Consider the following 22512-nt stretch of genomic DNA (forward strand, 5'->3'; position numbering starts at 1 on the left):
TAGAAAACATGAAGTGTTGGTTCCTGCTATTGCTTCACTAGACATATGTGTTAAAAAAAAAAGTTGTTAGCACTTCAGTTTTTAAAAAATGAGGTTAGGTTTGTGGTTCAGTAAATTAAGGTTCATACCTTGCTTTTTGGTTCAGGGATTGGCCTAAGTCCTTATTTAGCTGTATTTAAAAATTAGCCTTAGTGTGAAAGAAGATAAAAAAGCTTTCCAAAAAACATTTTCCAGCTATAATTATTAAAGATTTAGTATCACTTAACTAACATGGGAAATGCCCACACTAAAATCAGGGCATTGTATTTCTGAAACGGAAACCTTTCGCAAAGCCTGTGCAGGCAGAGGAGCTCACACACATCCTTGACGTGGCACTGTGTCTTCAGGGGTGCTGCCCTCTTACAGAGAGACAGATCTGGAGGCCATGGCCGTTTTGGTGAGAAATGCCAGAAACAGCTTCAGTTTCCACCTACTGCTTCATATTTATAATCACAGTAATCTATTTCTCGTTTTGCTATTTCTAGAGCAACAAATTGTGTGATGCGAAATTAGTACCAGAGGAACAATGACTCCACTTAACAAAAAAATAGCAAGGGAACTATGAAAAATGGCACAACTGCTTAACTTTAATAGTTGAAGTCTTTAGGAGACTTCAGTAGTTGAAATGACACAGAAAAATCCTCAAACTAACATACCTACATGAAACTGAGTTTCTCAAAGTAACCCACATTTATGGAAATAGAAGTTTGTCTTGCAGAAACATCAGCTCATTTTGTAAGGTGTATGTGATATTTAAATTTGTGATGCTTGTGAATAAGGGAATGGGGCTTTAGGTCTGAGGAAAGGGGAGCATTCATTCAAACTGGAGGGTATTTTGCATTTTTAAGGCTGCTATAAGGTCACGACCTTGGTGAGACTTAACCTGTTTTCGTATGTATTGTGTACTTTCTGTTCTAAGCCATTGTGTGTGTCTGTAACTTTCTCCAAGATTCTCTCCAAATCTTGCTTCTCTTAATTTCTCCAGATTGTGCCAACCTATTTCCCACTCCTGATCTTTAGTGTTATATCACCACTAGGAGACTGGGGAATGTGGTTTGTGTTCTTAGACTCAACAGATACCTACCATATGCCAAGCATTCTTCTAACAGCTAGTGAGAGATCTATCAGTGAACAAAACAGACAAAACTCCATCTTTTTTCCTCTGCTGCTCATATTCTAGTGTTAACCATTTGCATATTTCTCAGACTCTTCAATACATTTATTATTTCTTTTTAATCAGTTTATTCTGACCCTCAGTAGATGACATATTTCATGGGTGTAGGGACAGTGCCATCTATCTCCCTTGGGGTGTTCTTACATTCAAGAAATGGGTTTTCACACAAGTCCTGTCAAATACTTAATTCCTTACACAATATAAAGGGATTGAGTTTTTCAAAGATAGGCTGACTACTTGGAATGAAAAGCATTTAAATACTGAAGAGAGAAAAAGGATTCTCTTTTCAACCCTTCATATTCTCGGAAGGAAAACTGAAATACCGAGTTAGTATGTCCTCAACCCTGGTTAATTTCCCTTGCAAACAAAGAGGGACAGGCCTTGGTGTCAGAAGCTTTGCCATAAGATGTTACCTAGCTAGGATTTTTAAACTGGTTTTCATTGTATTTTATTACCTTCAATTAAGAATAGTTTAAAACAAGTAGTTTTCCATTTATAGCAGTAAAATAAATTTGTTCAAGTATAGCACTGAATGGATTTAAAGAAAAATAGTAAAATTTCAGGTGGTAAATATGATAAAAAGCATGGAAGTGATAAATGGTTGGCTAAAATTTAGGACTCTGCTTGACAGTATAGCATTTTAGGCCAGGCACAGTGGCTCATGCCTGTATCCTAACACTTTAAGAGTCTGAGGTTGGAGGATCACTTGAGCCCAGGAGTTCAAGATCAGCCTAGACAACATAAGGAGATCCCCCCGTCTCTACAAAAAAAAAAAAAAAAAAAAAAAAAAATAGCCGAGCATGGTGGTACACGCCTGTGATCTCAGCTACTTGGACGTCTGGGGTGGTAGGACAGCTTGAGTCCAGGAGGTTCAAGTCTTCAAGGCTTCGGTAAGCCTGGGCAACAGAGTGAGACCCTGTCTTGAAAAACAAAAACAAAAAAAACAACCAAAAACGGCATTACCCAGAACCTATCTACTTTAGAACAATAGCATGCCCTGTCTGCTCCAGCTGCACCTAATACCAGAGGGAACTGCTCCAACTCCAAATTAAAAACATTATCAGTGATCAGAAACAAAAGTTCCGTTATGAGAACCTTTCAAAGCTCAGTAATAGCTTAAACTCCTGGCTTCTTAAAGGATTAGTAACACTTTGATATCTGTGTATATTTGGCTCACAGAGGAGAACCAAATAACATTACCTTGAAAATCTAGGACTAAGGGACCTTATGAATACAGAGGGAAACTATCCAAGGAACAGACAATAGCAGTTTTAATTGAGTGAATAAAGTGATCTTGGTTTCAAATTCAACTGAGAAAACATGACTTTCTCCTTTTTTCTTTAAGAGGGGGCTACTGTTAACCAGACATGTTATCTGTAGTCCCCTGGGCTCTACACTGAGAAAGATGATCAAGAAATAGATAAGCCTGTTATTCTTCCAACCGATGGTTCCAATGAGCACCCATATCCTAGTCATGTGAAACAAAGGGGTGAAACAAGGCGGGTATCTTGGTTCATGCTTTAATTCTCTATTTTTCTCTGAGGGACTTTCAGCATCAGTCCTTTCTGAGGGATTAAGTATCTTACTAAGGTGTTGACTCTTATTGACTACAGAATTCAGCTCTTTCATTTAGTCACAAAGGCATCCTAGACCCTAAGAGAATGCCCATATTGTAGTAAAGCATACTATCTGTAGCTAGCTTTATCACAAAGCCTTTACAAAACTTGGATTTCATAAAATCATAGGCGGCCTCTAGGGCTATCTTTTCCAAGGAGACACATACATTCCCCCTTAGTGTTGACCCTATACAGACCAGGCAGGAGGTGACACGGGTTAATTTAAAACAGCCAGCCACATATATCGGGCACAGCCAGTGCCCGATATAGTCATTACTTGGTCTGTCTTTTGGAGTGCTTCAAGGAGTATGGAACAATCCTGCAGGAATAGGACATAGGATCCTTTCCTTTTGATAAGGAGCAGGGGTTCTGAAATAACCAGCAGGTAAAGATTAGGCCTTGGGGAGGTTCTGATGAGTCTGCTTTGGAGCCTCTAGACAGCAAGAGAATAGTATAATAGTATAATACAACTCAGGTTATACTGCAGAAAATGAAACATAATAGATGGAGAAGTCCATGCCTACCATAAACGTTTGAAACCTTTGCCTAGAGCAGGCCTTTCTTTTCTTTCATTTGCAAATTTCTCCTGAGCCACCTGCTATGTACCCAGCACTGACAATGAAATGTTGGGGTGGGGTAGAGGTAGGGGGTCACAGGGGAGTGTCCAAACACACTAGGTCCTCATGAAATTTTTACTTTTGTACTTCTAAACGTCTTACATGGTCTAAACTATTCTCATCGATACCACTTCCTTCCCCTCCTTCTTCTGCCATTCATGTAACATATTCAACATATCCAACGGATAATGATACTTGACTACCTATAAGATTAAGTTGAAGGCTCGTTCTGTCTTTATCACCATTAAATTTAAATAAGAACAATAGCTTACATTTATTTACTACTTTATAGTGCATAGTCTAATTTCACATATAAATCTCATTTCCTTCCCAATAGCTTTGTGAAGCTTGTTATTCTTTCATTAGTGTATCAGACACTTTAGAGGTGGAATGCAGGCATCTATTTTCCAATGGTTTTTAATGTTGATTGAGTATCAGAAATGCCTATGGAGTTATATTTTCTTTTAAATAAGAGTACAGATGTGCTTGAACACTTAGAGAATCTATCGCACAGTTGTGGAATTCCAGCACCAAATTAAAATATGTGTGCCTGTGTCACTACACTAGATTTTTGGATAAAATCTAGTCAGTTTGATTGAAGTGCAATTTTGTTAGTGTTCCAATAATATGATACTGAGTTTTAAATATATCAGTGTATTTAGTAGATGACCAACTTTCAACTCACTTGGGCCCCTTACAGCCAAGGCTGGCTGCATGGGCCTGCAGTCTGTGCACGGGGCCACATGCCTAGAAGAGCCTTGTGTTTGGTTTAATGCTCTGCTGCTGCTGTCTTGAAATTCTTAATGAATTTTGAAAAAAAGGCCTGACATTTTTATTCTGCACCAGTTCTGCTTAAAGCCAAGGGCGTCTACTGTAGGGTTGCTTTAGCATGGTTGTCCTAATGACTGAATGAAAAATGTGGTTGAAAAGGCTGCTTTTAAAATAAGCAATGAACAGATCGATGGTTGAGAGTTGGGCGGGTTGGGGAAGGTGCAGGGTGAGGCAGATTATGGAAGGTGTGAGCTGGCAGACTCAGCGGGCATGGAACAGAGGCCCTGTGATGGCGCTCTGCAGCCTTGGGCAGGGGTGAGGAGGGGAGGGCTTATGCTGTGGGGATGGCAAGAGGCAGCTACCAGTAGGGGATGCACATGTGAGCCTTGAATGAACCTTTGCTGGGCTCCCTTTCCCTTTTTGTCTTCCCTCTCCAAGGCACTACTTACTTTTCAGCTCCCAAAATATGGGGCTCAGAAGTGGTCAATAGTGAGGAAAGGAGTGGTAACTGAAAGAAGTCTAGGGTTCTCTGGGTGGAAAGACTCAGAGGAAACATTCAAACCTTGATAGAAAGGAGATGAAAAATCCATCCTTGCCTATTGTTGTAGCTATAGAACCCCAAAAGCCCTTGGGCTGCAGATGTACCCCCCACAAATCTATTTATGGTCTAATTAAAAAATTAAGTTGAACTTAATCATAACAGTGTCTTCTTCAGATATGCTTATCTTCTCCGTAGGTTTAGTTGACATATTTGAAATGTTTTAAGACTAAATGAGCCGGGTGCAGTGGCTCATGCCTGTAATCCCAGCACTTTGGGAGGCCTAGGCGGGTGGATCACCTGAGGTCAGGAGTTTGAGACCAGCCTGGCCAACATGGCGAAACCTCGTTTCTACTAAAAATACAAAAATTAGCTGTGCGTGGTACTGCATGCTTGTAATCCCAGCTACTAGGGAGGCTGAGGCAGGAGAATTGCTTGAACCCCGGGGGTGGAGGTTGCAGTGAGCTGAGATTGTGCCACTGCACTCCAACCTGGGTGACAGGGCGAGACTCCTCAAAAAAATAAATAAATAAAAATAAAAAAAAGACTAAATGAAAATGTCACATTAAAATGACTATACATTTTTCTAATTCTGGAAACCCAATGTCTTCAGAGTTCTCTTTTAAAAACCTCAAGGCCAGGTGCAGTGGCTCACACCTGTAATCCCAGCATTTTGGGAGGCCAAGGCAGGAGGATCACTTGAGCCCAGGAGTTCGAAACTAGCCTGGGCAACATAGAAAGACTCTGTCTCTACAAAAAAATTAACAACAAAAAAAATTAGCTGGGTGTGGTGGTGCACACCTGTAGTCCCAGCCGCTTGGGAGGCTGAGGTGAGGGGATCACTTGAGCCTGGGAAGTCGAGGATGTAATGAGCTAAGATCATGCCAGTGCACTCCAGCCTGGGTGACAGAGCAAGACCCACTCTCTAAAATATATATAGATATGTATATATGAAATTAAAAACTCAAAAGATAAAAACCTCTTGATTCCTCTGACTGCCACCCACTAAGGAGAAAATTCCCTTTTAAAAGCTGGAAGGTAATTATATCTCAGCCCAGAGTAGAGTGGTGCTGACTTTTCTCTTTATGGAAAATATTTACCTTCTTTGCTAATATAACTAAAGGCTACAACTTTCCATAAATTCATCATAAAATTGTGTTTCATGACTCATCATTATCTAGCCCCTTTTGCCTCGAAGATGGTTTTGGTTGTAACTGGTATCTCCCCAGTCTCTCAAAATATGAACAGATGTTTGTTGCTTCTGTTCCCTTCTCCTCCCTACCTGTAATGATTAAAAAGGTATTCTCTGAGAGTTTTCTCATCTCAGTGTGAACTTAGTCATAACAGTAACTTCTTAGTCATAACAGTATCTTCTTAGTCATAACAGTATCTTCTTCAGATATGCTTATCGGTCAATTTTTCCATATTTATATTTTAAATTTTACTCTTAAAAAATGAAGTTCTTGCTACATACCAAATGCTTTAACAGATTATTGTGTGTAATCCTTACAACCACCTTTATGACATTGGTATTATTAGTCCCATTTTCAGTTCATGAGACTCAAGTTTTTTGAGCTAATAATTTGCCTAAAGACATATCACTTTGTTAAATGTCTCTGGTTCAGCCTGTGCTGGTTCAGAGCTCACACTAGGGATGTAGCCTGGCTGTTGGAATTTGACTCCTAGCCCTGCCATCTCCTGGCCAGGTAACCTTGAGCAAGTTACTTAACTTCTTTGTTCCTCAGATTCCACATCTATAATGTAACAATACCTACTATGTAGGTTTGTTGTGAAGTTTAAATGAGGAATTATATGGAAGACATTTAAAATAGTGTCCAGCATAAATATTGCATAATAAATATCACTATTATTGGTTTCCAAATATTCTCCTAATGTTATGGCCCATCCTGCTGTATGTCACTGAACCCAAGTATCTCTGAATAACTCCATCAAGTGCTGACAGCCAGAACTGTCAATTCCAGCTTATCAGATGATAGCATACATAATTATTCAAGTCATGAACAGCAGAGGCAGACTAAGAAAACTTTGAAAACTAAGATAGTAAACAGACGTGAGAACCAAATGCAATATGTGATCCCTGACTGGATCCTGAACCAGAAACTATTTTTCTTCTTTTGCCACAGAAGACATTTGTGGGTAAAAAATGAAGGTCTGTACCTTGATAATAGTATCGTATTAATGTTAACTTCTTGATTCGCAATCACTTTCTGTGGTGACTGTAGATAATATCAGTGTTTTTAGGAAATATACACTGAAGTATTGAGAGATAAAGGGGAATTACATCTATAACATACTGTTAAATATTATAAATAATTAAATTCATATGTACAGAAAGACAGAAGAAAGGATGATTAACATGGTAAAATATTAACATTTGGCAAATATAGGTAAAGGGCTTGTGGAAAGTATTTTTTTAAACTTTTCTATAAGTCTGAAATTATTTCAAAATGGAATGATAAAAATATTAATCAGTAGAAAGAACAGAAAGAGTACTAGATTTGGAGTTGGAAGAATTGAGTTTTATTCTAGCCACTATTTCCTAGTGCTCTTAGGCAAATCATTTAGACTCTCTGAGCCTGTCTCCTAATCTAAAAATTGAAGATAATAAAACCTACCTCATTGGATTTAGTGGGCATGTAAGTTTCTGGGTGAATTTATAAAGTTGTAGCACATTATACAAATAATACTTTTTTAAAAAGGACATATGGCCCCATGTTCCCACTCTGAAACTAGTAGCCCAGGATGGGCTCTGCTACAAATCAGCTACAGTAAAGCTTCAGGGATGGGTTTTCTCAGTTATGAATGCCAAGCAAGCAGAGGGGAAAAACTCAGGTGACCTTGACACTTCCTCTTAGAAATTCATTTTGTGGCTCCCAGAGAAGAAAAGATTTTGACAGGGAACAGTCTATCCTTAAAAAAAAAAAAAAAAGATTTCAAATAAAAGAAATTGTAGATATAAAGACCAGTTCTCAAGATTGGTGATTTTCAACTTGGTTGTACATCACAATCACCCTATGGATCTTTAAAGAACCAAAAAGTAGATGCTTACACCCCCACCCTGGAGAGTCTGATTCATTAGGTCTTGGGTAGGTCCTAGACGTCCACATTTTCAAAGAGCTTCACAGACACTTCTGATGTCCACTGGGGTTGAAAGCCACTGCCCTAGTATTGTTTATAAGGACTAAATAAGATCCTTTATACATAGTGCTCAATAAACATTAACCCTAATCTCATCTTTTCCTTTCTCTGTGCCTCAGAGGAATGACAAACTGAAATTAGAAATGCAGATCTTGTTGACAAATGATTTACAATAAAGTTTCTGGATGAAGAAAAAAAAAGAAAACTACTGTCCTAGATAGTTAGTCAAAGTAGGTGCCTCCGAAATCAGAGCCCAAACCAAGCCCATCTGATATCATTATATGTGATCTGGGGAAAGAATAAAACCCCTCACTTAATTTGGCATTTACTAGTATCCACAGTACCTTGGAGGCACTTAACATGGATAATGTGCCAAGGAGACAGGTAGGCCTCAAAAGATGAAGTGGGGAATATGGGCAGAAAAGCAGAGTAAACTTCAACAGGATTACCTTGGGTATTGATAAGGAAATAAAGCAGGCTTACAAGATGAGTTTTATAAACAATAAACAGTGATTCGGGAAAAGGATCTTGGAGTATGTCCTCGTCATTCCCTGAATACTTGGGCCAAGACTGCTGTCTACGAGGCCATCAATGCTGATATGCTGAGTGTCCTCATAAAGGATGTTGTCAATTAAACCCAAGGAATTACAGTACTCTTTACAAGAAAAACAAACCACAGAATATTTTATTTCTTGGGAAGTTCCTATTGCTATACTTCATACACATTTCAGTTAGAAAAGCTCCAAGACAAAAATAATAGAGTTAGAAAATAGAAATAAAAATTTTTTAGAAGATGGAATGCCTTTTTTTTTATAAGGACAGATGAGAAAAGTGAAAAAGCTCTTAGATTGGATAAAAGCTGAGAGAATACATAATCAGAATTCATGAGATAATGAAGTGAATAGCTGGGATGGACTTTGTCACTTAAAATTGGAAAGAAATTGTGAAAGCATATGCTGAGGTAATTTAAGATTTAAGAGAAAATTACTTCATATATTGCTTCATTTAATTTTTACTGTGAAATGTCATTATTTCTACTCTTCAAGTAGATAAAATGAGTCTGAGAAAGGTAATTTTTCCTAAGTCATGAAGTTGGTAGGAGGAGAAGCTGGGGATTTGAACTCAGACCACCTGACTCCAGAGTCTGTGCCCAGAATCACTATACTCCTGGACCTCCCTTATACTTTAGATTTTCCAGAAGGCTAAGGAAAGCCTATATGGCATAGTAAGATTCAAGTTCAACTTTAAACTTTTGATTTACCTTTGAACTCAAGTTCAAATCAAGTAAAAGTCATTAAGAGCTCAGCTAACATCTTTCTATTCATCACTTCTGTATGCTCACAGCCTTTGGGCTGATTTTGAAATAGAAATGCTAGTCTTGCAATATTTTCAGCTAAGCCAGAATAAGATAAGATGTGTTGTTTTCCTAGGAATTAATTTCTCCATTTCTAGTCTTCAAGTTTTAGTAAAACGATGCTTGATGACTTACAGCAATAAATTCTTAACTGGTAATCAAAAAAGAATAAACTGTACTTCTGTTCATAAATAGAGGAAAGAAAAAGAAGCACCTGCAATTTGATAATTATAATAATTCATTATACTGCTTACAAAGGATACAGAGACAGTATGGCAAACTAGAAAAACCCAGGATTACTAGTTAGGAGAGTAATGTTCTATACACTAAGCCATGCAATTTTAGGTGAGCCATTTTCCTTCTTTGGGCAACACATTCCTCAATGGTAAAACCAAGGTGTCGGATTAGAATTTGATTTCCTCAAAACCTAGAATCATGGAATGTTAGTGCAGGAAAGGGGTTTAGAGGAGGGCCTCTCAATCTTTGTCACCTCATGGTGCACCTAGAAAATGCTCATTCTCGCATGGCATCCTGGAGCCGGCACAGGAAGTGGTTAAGGATTGGAGCTGCTGCCTCCAGGTCTCAGAGGATCAATTATTCAGCTCATTTGTAGGGGAGTCCAAGCTTTGAGAATTACAAGTTCAGCCTCATCATTTTCCACATGGAGAAACTAATGCCTAGACACATTTTATGAATTTATAACAACCCATAAATTAAAGTACATGGTATCAATGTATTTTCAGTTGTTATACTATTATTTAACAAATCTATCCCAACCTGACCCCCTTCAGTCCATTTTCCACATGGTAACTGGAGAGACCTCTTAAAAACTATAAACCTGATTATGTCAACGCCCATTCCCCTCAAGGGTTGCCTCCTGATGTTTTGAGGATAAAGATCCATATTCTTAAAATAGCCCACAAAGCCCTGCATGGCCCAATCTCTATTTCTCCAGTGTCACCTCAGGCTTTTTTTTTTTTTTTTTTGCATTTTATATTTCTTCTTTCCTTTTCTAAAACACACCAACCAATTCCCCGCATAAGGGCTTTAGCAAGTGCTATTTTCTCGGCCTGGAGTCAACTACCTTTTTCCTCAGCTGACACTCATTTCAGGCCTCAGTTCAAATGCCATTTGCTAAAGGAAACCTTTCTTAATCCCCCATCTACACCAGGTTCCCCGATTACAACTCATCCTGTCTTTCACTACACAGCAATAATCAGAATTTATACTTGTCCATTTCCTTTTGTGATTATCTGATTAATGTCTGCCTTCCTCATTAGACTATGAGCCCTGAATGGAATGTGTGTCTGAATAGGAGCTCTTGTTCATTACTGTCTCCTCAGTGCTTACCAATTTCTGGTGTATAGGAAAAGTTCAGTGAAATGTTCAATGAATGAATTTACGGTTTAGTTTTGGCTACAGAAGTCTTCCTGGCAACTTCCATTCATTGCACTGACAGCTCTGTACATCACATTTCTTGTAATATGAAACATGGATATGGTTATGCCTTACTTCACTCTAATTAGTGAACAGTATGGGCATTTACTTAAACTTTTCACTGCAAATATTCTCAACAATTTTTTTTTATTGTGGACAACTTTGAGATCTAATAAGCTACGGACCATTTCCCCCCCAGAATGAATACATCCACAACATTTTGCAAACAATTTCAGCCAGTCAGTCCATGGACTAACCCTATGAATAAATTTCAAACTCCTAAATTTGGCATAAAATAATTATATGACTTGAGCCTTAGCTACCTTTCCATGCTCATCTGCAATTCTCTAATGTCTTTTTAAGCTATGCTATATCAAATTCCATGTAGTTTCCCTACATGGAATTAGGGATTGCTCCTGTGAGTAGCTACTACACTGTAGCCTGGGCAACATAGTGAGACTCCATCTCAGGAAACAAAGACAAAAATAAAAAACCAAGGTAAAGAGCTAAGAGAATGGATACATAATATCCCTCAAATGAGAAGACAAACTGGAATACTAGCAAATAAAATTGAATACTTGCAATGTGTAATTATCCACAAAGGCCATTACAAGAGAATATATTATACAACATACACACTATTTCTTCAGCCTGGAATACTATTCTATGTTTTGTTTTTTTTAACATATCCTCCAATACTTGGAGCAGATTTCATATCTAACAGGAGGCTCATCTGATTCTTGTGCTGAAACCCAATAAGGATCAACCTCCTAGCATTTACTTCCTGATAGGGGCTTTCATGAAACCCAGGAAGGATCAATCTCCTAGCATTTACTTTCTGATGTCAATTTCGATAACAATTTTTCCTGGAGAATGTTAAATTCTTTGAGAATGAGGAGTGTGTCTTATTTAGCCGTAGTGCCTAGAACAGTGAATGGCACAAACAGGCCTTCAATAAATGTATGTTAACCTGAGAAGGACCAAAATTATCAATGTGAGAAGAAGCCAGGCACTGTGGCGTGCACCTGCCATCCCAATTACTGGAAGCTGAAGCAGGAGGATTGCTTCAGCAATTTGTTTATTATACAACAAAGTTATTTTTACCCCAGTAAAATGACTAAAAATTGCATTAGCCTAAGGTATCAATGTCAGTATCAGTTTCTGTTACAGAAAATCATCATGTAAACACTAGAACAATGAATTCTTTATTAAAACAAACTGAAGGCAATACTCAGAAAACGTACCATTATGATGACTTTATGGAAAGATTCAAAGCTATGCTGTGTGCTACTATTGTATAACGTTTTATAATTCTCTCTGCCTTGTGAATAGTAAGCAGCAGATTTTAGCTCTCAGATGGAGATTGTAGAGTAACAAACAAGTTAATGGGTAATGAGAAAAGTGGAGAACTTTGCACGGAAAGATATGTACACTGATATTCCAAGCAAAGAAATTATTTTTGCTGTTTTCAACTTGCGGTTTTTATTCATTTACTCAACAGATTAAGCTATTTCTAACTCTAAGGTTGGTACCAAAGGGGACCAGTATTTATCATTAGAAGAATTACCATTCATTACACAATGGAATATAAGCATAATGCATAATGGACTTTCACAGTGTGATTGGGTAGAATCCAACGAGACGGCTAATTCACTCAATTCTGTTTCACTTACTCTGGTGCTCTTCTCTCTTATGCCAGATTCATTTGTTGTCATAAGGCCAGTTATAGAAGCACAGTGGGAGGCGGGGTGGAGGTGAGGACAGAAGCATTATCAGAAGCTTCCATGGAGGCACAGTTTTTAAAATTACCCACTGAAAATCCATAGATAGCCTCATTGTAGCCTCTTTCCAGCCCCTACTCTTGCTCAGACCATAGTGGTAATGACAGAATGGGAGATATCACTCACTGATAGAGTAGACTATTCTGTAAGATGACAAGGTCAGTAAAAGCAGTAAATAAGGGTGTGCTTACAACAAAGATGGAATTCACAATGTATGTTGACCCGAATTTAAAAACAAGAAATAGAATTATGGAGGAAAATCGAATTGTTATAACCCCTAGAAACAAAAACAGCATCCAGCACAATTGTGAGTGCACAGTGCATACCACAAGAGATGTGAGCTAAATGTGGTATAATATGAGAGTATAGTGGGCCTGAAGAAGAAAGTAAAAAGTGGAGAGATACAGCATTTCATATTATTTTTATTGATTCAGAGGGTACATGTGTAGGTCTGTTACATAGATATATTGTGTGATGGTGAGGTTTGGGCTTCTAGCATACCTGTAACCATAATAGTGAAGATTGTACTCAATAGGCAATTTTTCAATCTTCATCCTCTTCTCACTCTCCCCGCTTTTAGAGTCCCCAGTGTCTATTATTTCCCTATGTATGTCCATGTGTAACCATTGTTTGGCTCCCACTTACAAGTGAGAACACAGCATTTAATATTATCGGAGGGAGAAAAGATCCCATACTACACATTTGTCTCAAATAATAAATACATCTGTGGTTTTTCAAAGAATAAGCCCTAATTTCCAAGGCAGACTTCCTAGTCCATAGCTATACCATGAGATGGAAATTTAAATGCTACAGTGATTTGGGGTGATTCACACAGGCATTCTGTATAAATTAAGCAAAAATGAATGTATTTATCAATAATTACAGATAAACTCACCAAAAGTACAGCCAAAGCCCTTTGGAGTATGACATAATTTAGCAATAAAATCAGGTGGTGTACCTAAGGGACAGACTATAACATACATATTCTTTAAATCCCAGTGACCTCTTCCCAGGGGTTAAATCAGAGGAGTCATATCAAATCCAAGAAATATCATCTTTGAATATATTTCAAAAGCCTCAAATGATTAAACCCAATGACCTTTTAATAAATGTAAAATAAATACACAAGGATATCAGCTCTAGGTCTGCCTTACTCCTTCCCTTCCTTCCACAGCCATTTGTCAATAATCAACTAAGTTACTGATAAACAGAGGCTAGGTTCTTGGGATACAAAGGTAAGACATGGCCCCTGCCCTCAAGGAGTTCACACTAAGGGGTGAACTACACAGAAACAAATAATTATTTAACAATACACCAAGTATGTTAACAGAAGTATGTATAAGGACAATGGGGACAAAGAGGAGAAAGTACTTGTGATTTTGTTCCTCATATGACACATTATTATTAGAATGGGAGATGAGAATTATGTACTTGGTCATTCAACAAATACTGACTATGCCCCTCTCATGGGTAAGCACAGTGAAATCACAGTGAGATCAGAATAATCCTTTGGAATTCCAGGGGCACGTGACCTTCTCTCATCCCCCTCAAGAACTCAAAGGCCTCTTGCTGCTGACAATACAGCAGCTTGATAGTTAAGAATTTTTTAAGGAATAAATAACTTTATATTTTTAATCTAAAACTGAGTTGGACAAGTTTGTGAATAAAAATATCAGTTAATAAGGATAAAACCTAAGTAAATATCTAATCATTCTAATTACTTTTGAGGGAGGCCAAATATTCTGACTCTATTTCCTATTATATCTTCCCTCATGCTTAGTTTTTCTAGTCTCACTCCCCATCCTATCATGAACTCTAAAGAAATAATACTTGTTACATTTAAGATCACACAGAAAGGCAGTGAGGTTAGAGAGTATAAATTCTGGACCCAGATTGCCTGGGTTCAAGTCTGTGCTCTGTTATGTTCTAGCTGTGTGGCCCTGGGGAAGTTGCTTAACTCTTCTATGTTTCAGTTACTCATCTGTAAATGAAGTCGTCAATTAATGCATATAAAACACTTAGACCAATGCTTGGCATATGGCCAGGACTCCCTACAAGCTAGTTAATATTCCTACCATATACATAAAAATAAAAAATCAATAAGCAATAAGAAAGAGTTAATGCAAATAAATTTAATAGCAGAGCTATCTTTTAAACTTCATCAAGAGCATGACTGTATCAAATTCGTAACTATATCAAGTAAGCATTTGCCCAATATGAGATTTAAAAGTAACGACTATAGTAGTTTGGATTTCATCTATGCTTAAGAAAGTGTGACTTTGCTGTGGATAAGATACTTTCAAGATGTTGTCTTATTGCTATCTTTGTGGCTAAATTAACATTCAGATTAAAGGTGAGAAGGATATAGCGATTGTTATAACTTCTTTCACAATTATCTCACAGAAAATTGCTCATACAATATTATTTCTTGAAAGAAATAATTTCAATTTCTTGAAAGAAAATTTCTTTCAAGTTTCTTTTATTTTATTTTTTTTTTGAGACAGAGTCTCGCTCTGTTGCCCAGGCTGGAGTGCAGTGCTTTGATCTCTGCTCACTGCAACCTCCACCTCCTGGGTTTAAGCGATTCTCCTACCTCAGCCTCCTGAGTAACTGGGACTACAGGTGCACATTACCACACCTGGCTAATTTTTGTATTTTTTGTAGAGCCAAGATTTTGCCACGTTGGCCAGACTGGTCTCAAACTCCTGACCTCAAGTGATTGACCTGCCTTGGCCTCCCCAAGTGCTAGGATTACAGGTGTGAACCACTGCACCCGGACTCATTTCTTTAAAAGCTTTCCATAACCTGCAAAACCTTCTCAATACATGTGCTCTTGAAAACATTGAGCCTAATATTTTCCTGTTAGACTAGTCTTCTGTTTCCTCTTAAAACAGGAAAGCCCATAACTGTCTAAAGGACAAAGAACAGTAGTAGGTTTAACAATTTTCACCCTAAAGCCAAAGTGGGAGTAGCTGTAATATTTTATGAATGAAAAACAGGATGAATTCTATTAGGGCAACCATGTTTTAGACTCCTTTCTAAGTCACCTCCTAGAATTTTTAATCAGTCACCTAAGAGTTACTTATTAACTCAAAAACTGCTTAGTCACTGACTGAAAAATGAGGCAGGGAGCAGACCAAAGTCAAGAGTTCAGGGTCAAACTGCAGAGAGCAAAGCACAATGAGTGAATTGGTTTCATCTTTCTCCTCAGTCTTCCAGAGCCAGGAAAATGAAGGGACTGGACAGTGTTGGTGGTTGGTAATGTGAACACAATACCAGCTGTCTTAGGTGAGTAGACACAAAAGTCACAGGTTAAAAAGGGCACTTTGTCTCCCTTACTTGATATGTGGATCAAAGCCATGTACCCATACATGTATTGTCCTTGGCATCTTTTCTCAGTTTTCTCTTTCACAAGATGCCCATACACACAATATATTCTATACCAATGCTCTTCTGGAAGTTCTTTCAACTTCAAGATTACTAGAAATAAGAGCACTAGTGAGCATATCTATTTGTTAGTTTTAAGTAATATTTAACTTGCAGGGCGCAGTGGCTGACGCCTGTAATCCTACTTTGGGAGGCCGAGGTGGGTGGATGACCTGAGGTCAGGAGTTTGAGACCAGCCTGGCTAACATGGTGAAATCCTGTCTCTACCAAAAACACAAACAATAGCCGGGTGTGGTGGTGCATACCTGTAGTCCCAGCTACTCGGGAGGCCAAGGCAGGAGATTTGCTTGAACCTGGGAGGCGGAGGTTGCAGTGAGCCAAGATCCTGCCACTGCACTCCAGCCTGGGTGACAGAGTAAGACTCCATCTCAAAAATAATAAAAAAATAAAATAAATAATATTTAACTAAGAGAAGTTAATATTTTAGTTACACATTTCTCTCTACTGCTAGAGGATTATATTTGGTTATTACAGTATTTCCCCCTTATCCCTAGGGGATACATCCCAAACCCCCAGCGGATACCTGAAACCACATATAGTACCAAACCCTACATATACTATGTTTTTTCTTATACAAACATACCTATGATAAAGTTGAATTTATAAATTATGCACAGTTAAGGGATCAAAAACAGTAACAATACAATAGAACAGTTATAACAATATGCTGTAATTACAGTTATGTTGTGAATGTGGTCTTTCACTTAAAACATCTTAAGTACTGTATTCATCCTTCTTGTGATGATGAAGGGTCAAAGCAGAACAGCATGAGATTGCATCATGCTACTCAGAATGGTGTGTAATTTAAAACTTACGAATTGCTTACTTCTGGAATATTCCATTAAATATTTTTGAACTACAGTTGATTGAGAGTAACTGGGACCAATGGAAAGCAAAACTGTGGATAAGGGGAGATTACTGTGATACTGACTTATTGAATTCGGATTATACAGTTCTGATATGAGCCAGTCTTTTAACATCTTTCTAGTTTATGACTTTGGGTCCCTTCATGATTCTTAATCACTTCCATTCAATTATAAAATACTTATTTTATTAGCTGGGCATGGTGGTGCATGCCTGTAGTCCCAGCTACTTGGAGGCTGACAGTGGAGGACTGCCTGAGCACAGGAATTCAAGGCTGCATTGAGCTATGATTGCACCACTGTACTCTAGCCTGGGTGACAGAATGAGACTCTGTCTCTAGTTTACAATATGTATATATATTGTCTCTAATTTACTCTGTATGTCTGTATGTGTGTGTGTGCATATTAAGCCCATAACAAATATTTTTGTGCTCTATAAGACAGCTGAGAAAAATATATTTAAGAGTCTAAGGGCAAGCTAGTCTATCTGTATACTTGTTATAAAAAAGGTAAGGTATATTGTAAATACATTGCATTTAATGGACAAATAGTTGCTAGTATCTCTCTGGATTTCAAGGGCCCTTGCTAACCCCTTAATTTCTCCATTATGATAAAAGATCAAGAATTGGCCAAACTCACTTAATATATTAACATTACTGAAGATCATCATAGTAAAGGCCTACAAAATAGAGACAAGCATTGCTTAGTGGTGATGGAACAAGCTTTTGATTTTATTTGTTTTTAATAAACAGTAGGCAAAGGGATATTTTGGTTGTCTAGAAAAAACATGTATTCTCACTTCCTTTCTATTAACCAGCTAACTTTTGCCTCTCAAACTTCAGCTACAAAAGGGAATCATCCATGAGTTTAATTGTACTGCCAGGTGACAGACAAGAGGGTTTATATGATGAGAAGAGAGGCTGGAAAAGGAAAAAAAAAAAAAAAAGAGGAGCAAGTTCAGATAGGTACAGAGGCTAGCACCTGGGTACTGACCTTTGAATTTCTTGCAAGGCAATATAATTTGCTCTTCAAACATAAAAGGCTACACTAAAAGAATAAAAGCCTTTTCCCCGCTATGTTCCTATAAAACTTTATTTATGGACATTGAAATTTGCATATCACATACTTTTCATGTGTCACAAAATATTATTCTACTTTTGATGTTTTTCAACCATTTAAACATGTGAAAGCCATTCTTAGCTCATGGGCCGCACAAAAACAGGCAGCAAGGGATGGGCCCTTAGACTAACATTGGTTGACTGCTGGATTGGAGCATTAGAGCTTGGGTATGAGTCCCACCCCAGGGCTTCCAGGAGAGGGGGCCCAGGCTGATGCCATCTCCACCCTCATTGCTCTAGGCGGGAAGGCAGAGCTGGTGCTGTATGAGGTGTGGCTGTAGATCCTGGGCCAGCCCTTCACCAAGGCCTTGGAAGATAAAACCAGTCCTGAGTCCCGGGTGCTTCAGGGGCAGCTGATGAAATGAGTGAAGTGGCAGGATGGAGTGGGAGATCAGGGAAGAGGCCTCGAGGGGATGGAGGATGACTGGACAAGGCTTTGGTAGAACTGTGACCCTCTTCACCCGCTCCTGACTCCCCAGCTGACCACCATCCTCAGACCTCTACAGAACTTGACCTACTGGAGGTGGAGGGATTCCAATGAATCCAGGGTGGCCCTCGGTGACCCAGGGCTCAGAGCTGGACTTGGTTGAGGGCAGGAGGCTGGAAGAGATGACCTCCGCTAGTCCCCCCCAGGCTGTCCAGCCCCCTGAAGCCTGTGATGATCCTTCCACCAGGCCAGACCCACTGACTGCCAGAGTGGGTGCCACCTTCTTGAGGGCTGTGCCAGCCCAGGCCCTTGGGTAAGAATGTGTGCACCAGTGTCTGGACACCCTGTGGGAGGCAGAGGGCCTCTTGGTAGAGATGGTCATTCCAGACCTCGGTCAGTATCTCTTTCCCTCTGCAGACCCCCTCCCTCTGTCTATGTCCTCTGTCCATCTGCCTCCTCCCTCGGGTTCATTGCCCCTACATGACCTGATCTGAAGCCTGCCTCCTCAGCCTGCCTTGCATCCTCATGGGAGCCCTCCCATGATAAATTTCCAATTTATCTTTAAAAATACATTATTTGAAACCAGATTTGTTAAAGCCCATAATCAGTTGAAATGAAAAGAAAATCCAGATTTGTGTGGGTTTTATATTTGGTAAAAAGATAATTAAGTAAGTTCTGACAGTGAAATTAGAGTTTTAACTTAGCTGGGATATCATTTATAAAAGAGCCTAACAGGCCTGACACGAAACAGGCCTGCCATAGAAGTTATATATAGCCTTTCCTTTGACTCTACTATATTTATTTTCTAATGGACAAGTTAAGTATAGAATGGTAAAGATAATAATTTAAAAAGATAATAATAATAACCAATATTTAATTGAATACTTCCTATTCTTATTGTTTTACCTATATCACCTAATCTATTTCTTGCTGCTGCTCTCTGAGGTAAGTACTATTATTATTCCCACCATAAAGATGAGGCAATTCAGGCACAAGAGTTTAACCTGCTTGCTTGGACAGCTAGTAAGTGGCAGAGCTAGAATTCAAACCCAGGTAGTCTGATTCCATATGCATTTGCTGTACTGAAAGTACTTAACCCAGTCTGGGCACAAAGTGAGTGCTTTCTATGATCATCATTGCTTTTATTATTACTGGATTTAAGAAAACTATATTGAATGCCTACCCACTGGAGAATTGAGGAATGAACAAAACACACAAGGTCACTGTTCTCATGGATCATAGAGGACAGGGGAGGAGACAGATACTCTTCAAAGAATTACACCTTGATAGTAGAAATAGATCACTTGAAGGAGAAGAAAATTTCTGAATGGTCCTATTTTAGACTACCAGGTCCTTAAGACTTGTTACTGGATGATCAGAGTATACGCGTCCATTACTCCTATTATCTACTCACCTTAAACTCTGCTGCTTGGTTAAAGTTTTGGAACCTTTATCGAGTCACTTCCCTGTTCAAAAACCTTTGATGGCTTCCAGTTTTCTAGAGCCTAAGTAGCCACTGTGTGTCATACATACCAAGAAACTCCCATCCAGCATTTACAGCAAACATCAGTAATCCATCATGGTGATTTTTTTTTTCTATTTGGTTGTAGTTTTATCAATAAATCAAAAACTGGCACTTGAATTGAAACACTTTTGTCATCGTTGACCTAGTTTGCTGTATAGAAACACTGGTTTTGGACTTAGACAAACTTGGGTTCAAATTTCAGCTCTCTGCCACTCATTGGTGGGGTGATCCTGGCCAAGTCATTTCACCTATGGGAGCCTCACTCTCTTAGCATATAAAATGGAGATAATAGAAACTATTCAACAGAGTTTTTAGGTAATGCAGGTAAACAATTTGGCATAGTACCTGGTATATATTGCTTAGTAAATTAAAGTTATTATTTTTATCACTGTTACCATAATGTTCATTATTGCCATCAGAAAGCTTTCCAAAGTCTCCACAATCTAGCTCTAATTTACATTTCCAAATTTATCTCCCATACTCTACCAAAGGAACCCTCCACTTCAACCAGAGGAACTCAATGTCTCCTAAAACCAGCCTGCCATGTTCTTTTTCTGTGTGTATAAAAATCTGCCTTATTCTTCAAATACCATTTCATTAAATTCATGAAATTTATTTCATGAAATTTTCCTGACCCCCTTCAGCCACACTCATACTGCTCTCCATTGAACTCTCATACTTACTGTTTCTAACACTTCATCATACACTATCTGGTAACATTCTCTTATGCTGGTGTTTAATTTTATATTACAATTTAATTTTACATTTTTTTTTATCTTTTCCATCTAAACCCTCTACTTTTCTTTTTCTTTGAGACAAAGTTTCGTTCTGTCACCCAAGCTGGAGTACAGTGATGTGATCATGGCTCACTGCAATCTCGAACCTCCCAGCCTCAAGAGATCCTACCACCTCAGCCTCCTGACTAGCTGAGACTTTAAACACCTGCCACCATGCTCGGCTAATTTTTTTTTTTTTTTTATTTTTTGTAGAGACATCTCCCTCTGTTGCCCCGACTGGTCTTGAACTCCTGGGCTCAAGTGATCTTCTTGCCTTGGTCTTTCAAAGTGTTGGAATTACAGGTGTGAGCTATTGTGCCCAGTCAAATAGGGATAATCACATTTTATTTTTTGAAACAGAATCTCACTCTGTCATCCAGCTGGAGTACAGTGGCATGATCACAGCTCATGGCAACTTTGACCTCCCAGGCTCAAGCAATCTTCCTGCCTCAGCCTTTGGAGTAGCTGAGACCACAGGTACATGCCACTACACCTGGCTAATTTTTGTATTTCTTTAGAGACTGGGTCTTGCCATGTTGCCCAGGCTGGTCTCAAACTCCTGGGCTCAAGTGATTCTCTCACCTCAGCCTCCGAAAGTGTTGGGATTACAGGTGTGAGCCACTGTGCTGGGCAGAAATGTGTATCTTCAAAACAATACCTGGTGAAATGACTGCGGATTCATATCAATGAATGAATGAAATTTAAATAAAATAACATGTGGTAGTTAACTTAAAATTAAGCCATGGATTAAGGAGATAAAATTAATTTTTAATTCCTCATGTTACATTGAAGAACTCAATATTATAAAAAAATCTCTGGCTTTTTATTTTGAATTTGAAAATCAGAGGCCAAGCACGGTGGCTCACACCTGTAATCCCAGCACTTTGGGAGGCCAAGGTGAGCAGATCAGGAGTTCGAGACCAGCCTGGCCAATATGGTAAAACACCGTCTCTACTAAAAACATGAAAATTAGATGGGCATGGTGGCGTGCACCTGCAGTCCCAGCTACTCAGGAGGCTGAGGCAGAAGAGTCGCTTGAACCCGGGAAGTGGAGGTTGCAGTGAGCTGAGATCAAGCCAGTGCACTCCAGTCTGGGCGACAGAGCAAGACTCTGTCTAAAAAAAAAAAAAAAATCAGAATTTTCTACCTTTGTCCATTAGTCCTAGTTAAATAAATATTTTTAAAAATATTTGTGCCCATGTATAAGTGTTAAAGAATACTCTATTTCTCCAAATAATTATAAAGGATTTTTTCTTTATTTTTAAAATATGTTTTTAAAATTTGTATAATTTAAAAAAATTTTTTTTTAAGATAGAGACAGGGTCTTGCTGTGTTGTCCAGGCTGGTCTTGAACTCCTTGGCTCAAGCAATCCTTCTGCCTCAGCCTCCCAAAGTGCTGGGATTACCACAGCACCTGTCCCAATTTTCTTTAACATAGATAAAATCACCACTCGCAGGACTCAACTAGTTTACATTCCTCTTTGACCTATGAAATGTGATATATGTTTTCCATATCAAGTTTGAATAAAATTATCAATCAAAGACTCCATAAGCATGTGTAACTTAGCCCAGTTGCTCCCAACCACCAGATGGTGAGGGTCTAGGATGACATTTCACTGCTTTCTGGCAAAATGGGAAAAATGAGGGCAACAAAGCAGTGATGAAGCAAGGGTTGGCAGGAGTAGTCCACCCTGGGGAAGGGGCAGTATTTTCTCACTGACGTTGTTTGGAACTGCCTGTTTATGGTGATAACAAAAAGCAGACAAACTATTAGTGGATTCTATTATTGTTTTAAAATGATCTACAGAAGATGCAATGCTGTTTTGCCTGTGCCTGAAGTGGACTGCTTCGACCATCATGCCTTTGGCAT

At 38.7% G+C, this 22512-nt stretch overlaps 1 protein-coding gene across 3 annotated transcripts in view; it reads right to left on the bottom strand.

Moving 5' to 3' along the window:
• Positions 1–22512, bottom strand: part of NME7 (NME/NM23 family member 7) — a 235267-nt gene that overhangs the window by 507 nt on the left and 212248 nt on the right. The gene's annotated exons all lie outside the window — the stretch shown is intronic.

This window comes from Homo sapiens, chromosome 1, assembly GCF_000001405.40.
Source record: "Homo sapiens chromosome 1, GRCh38.p14 Primary Assembly".
Taxonomy (NCBI): domain Eukaryota; kingdom Metazoa; phylum Chordata; class Mammalia; order Primates; family Hominidae; genus Homo; species Homo sapiens.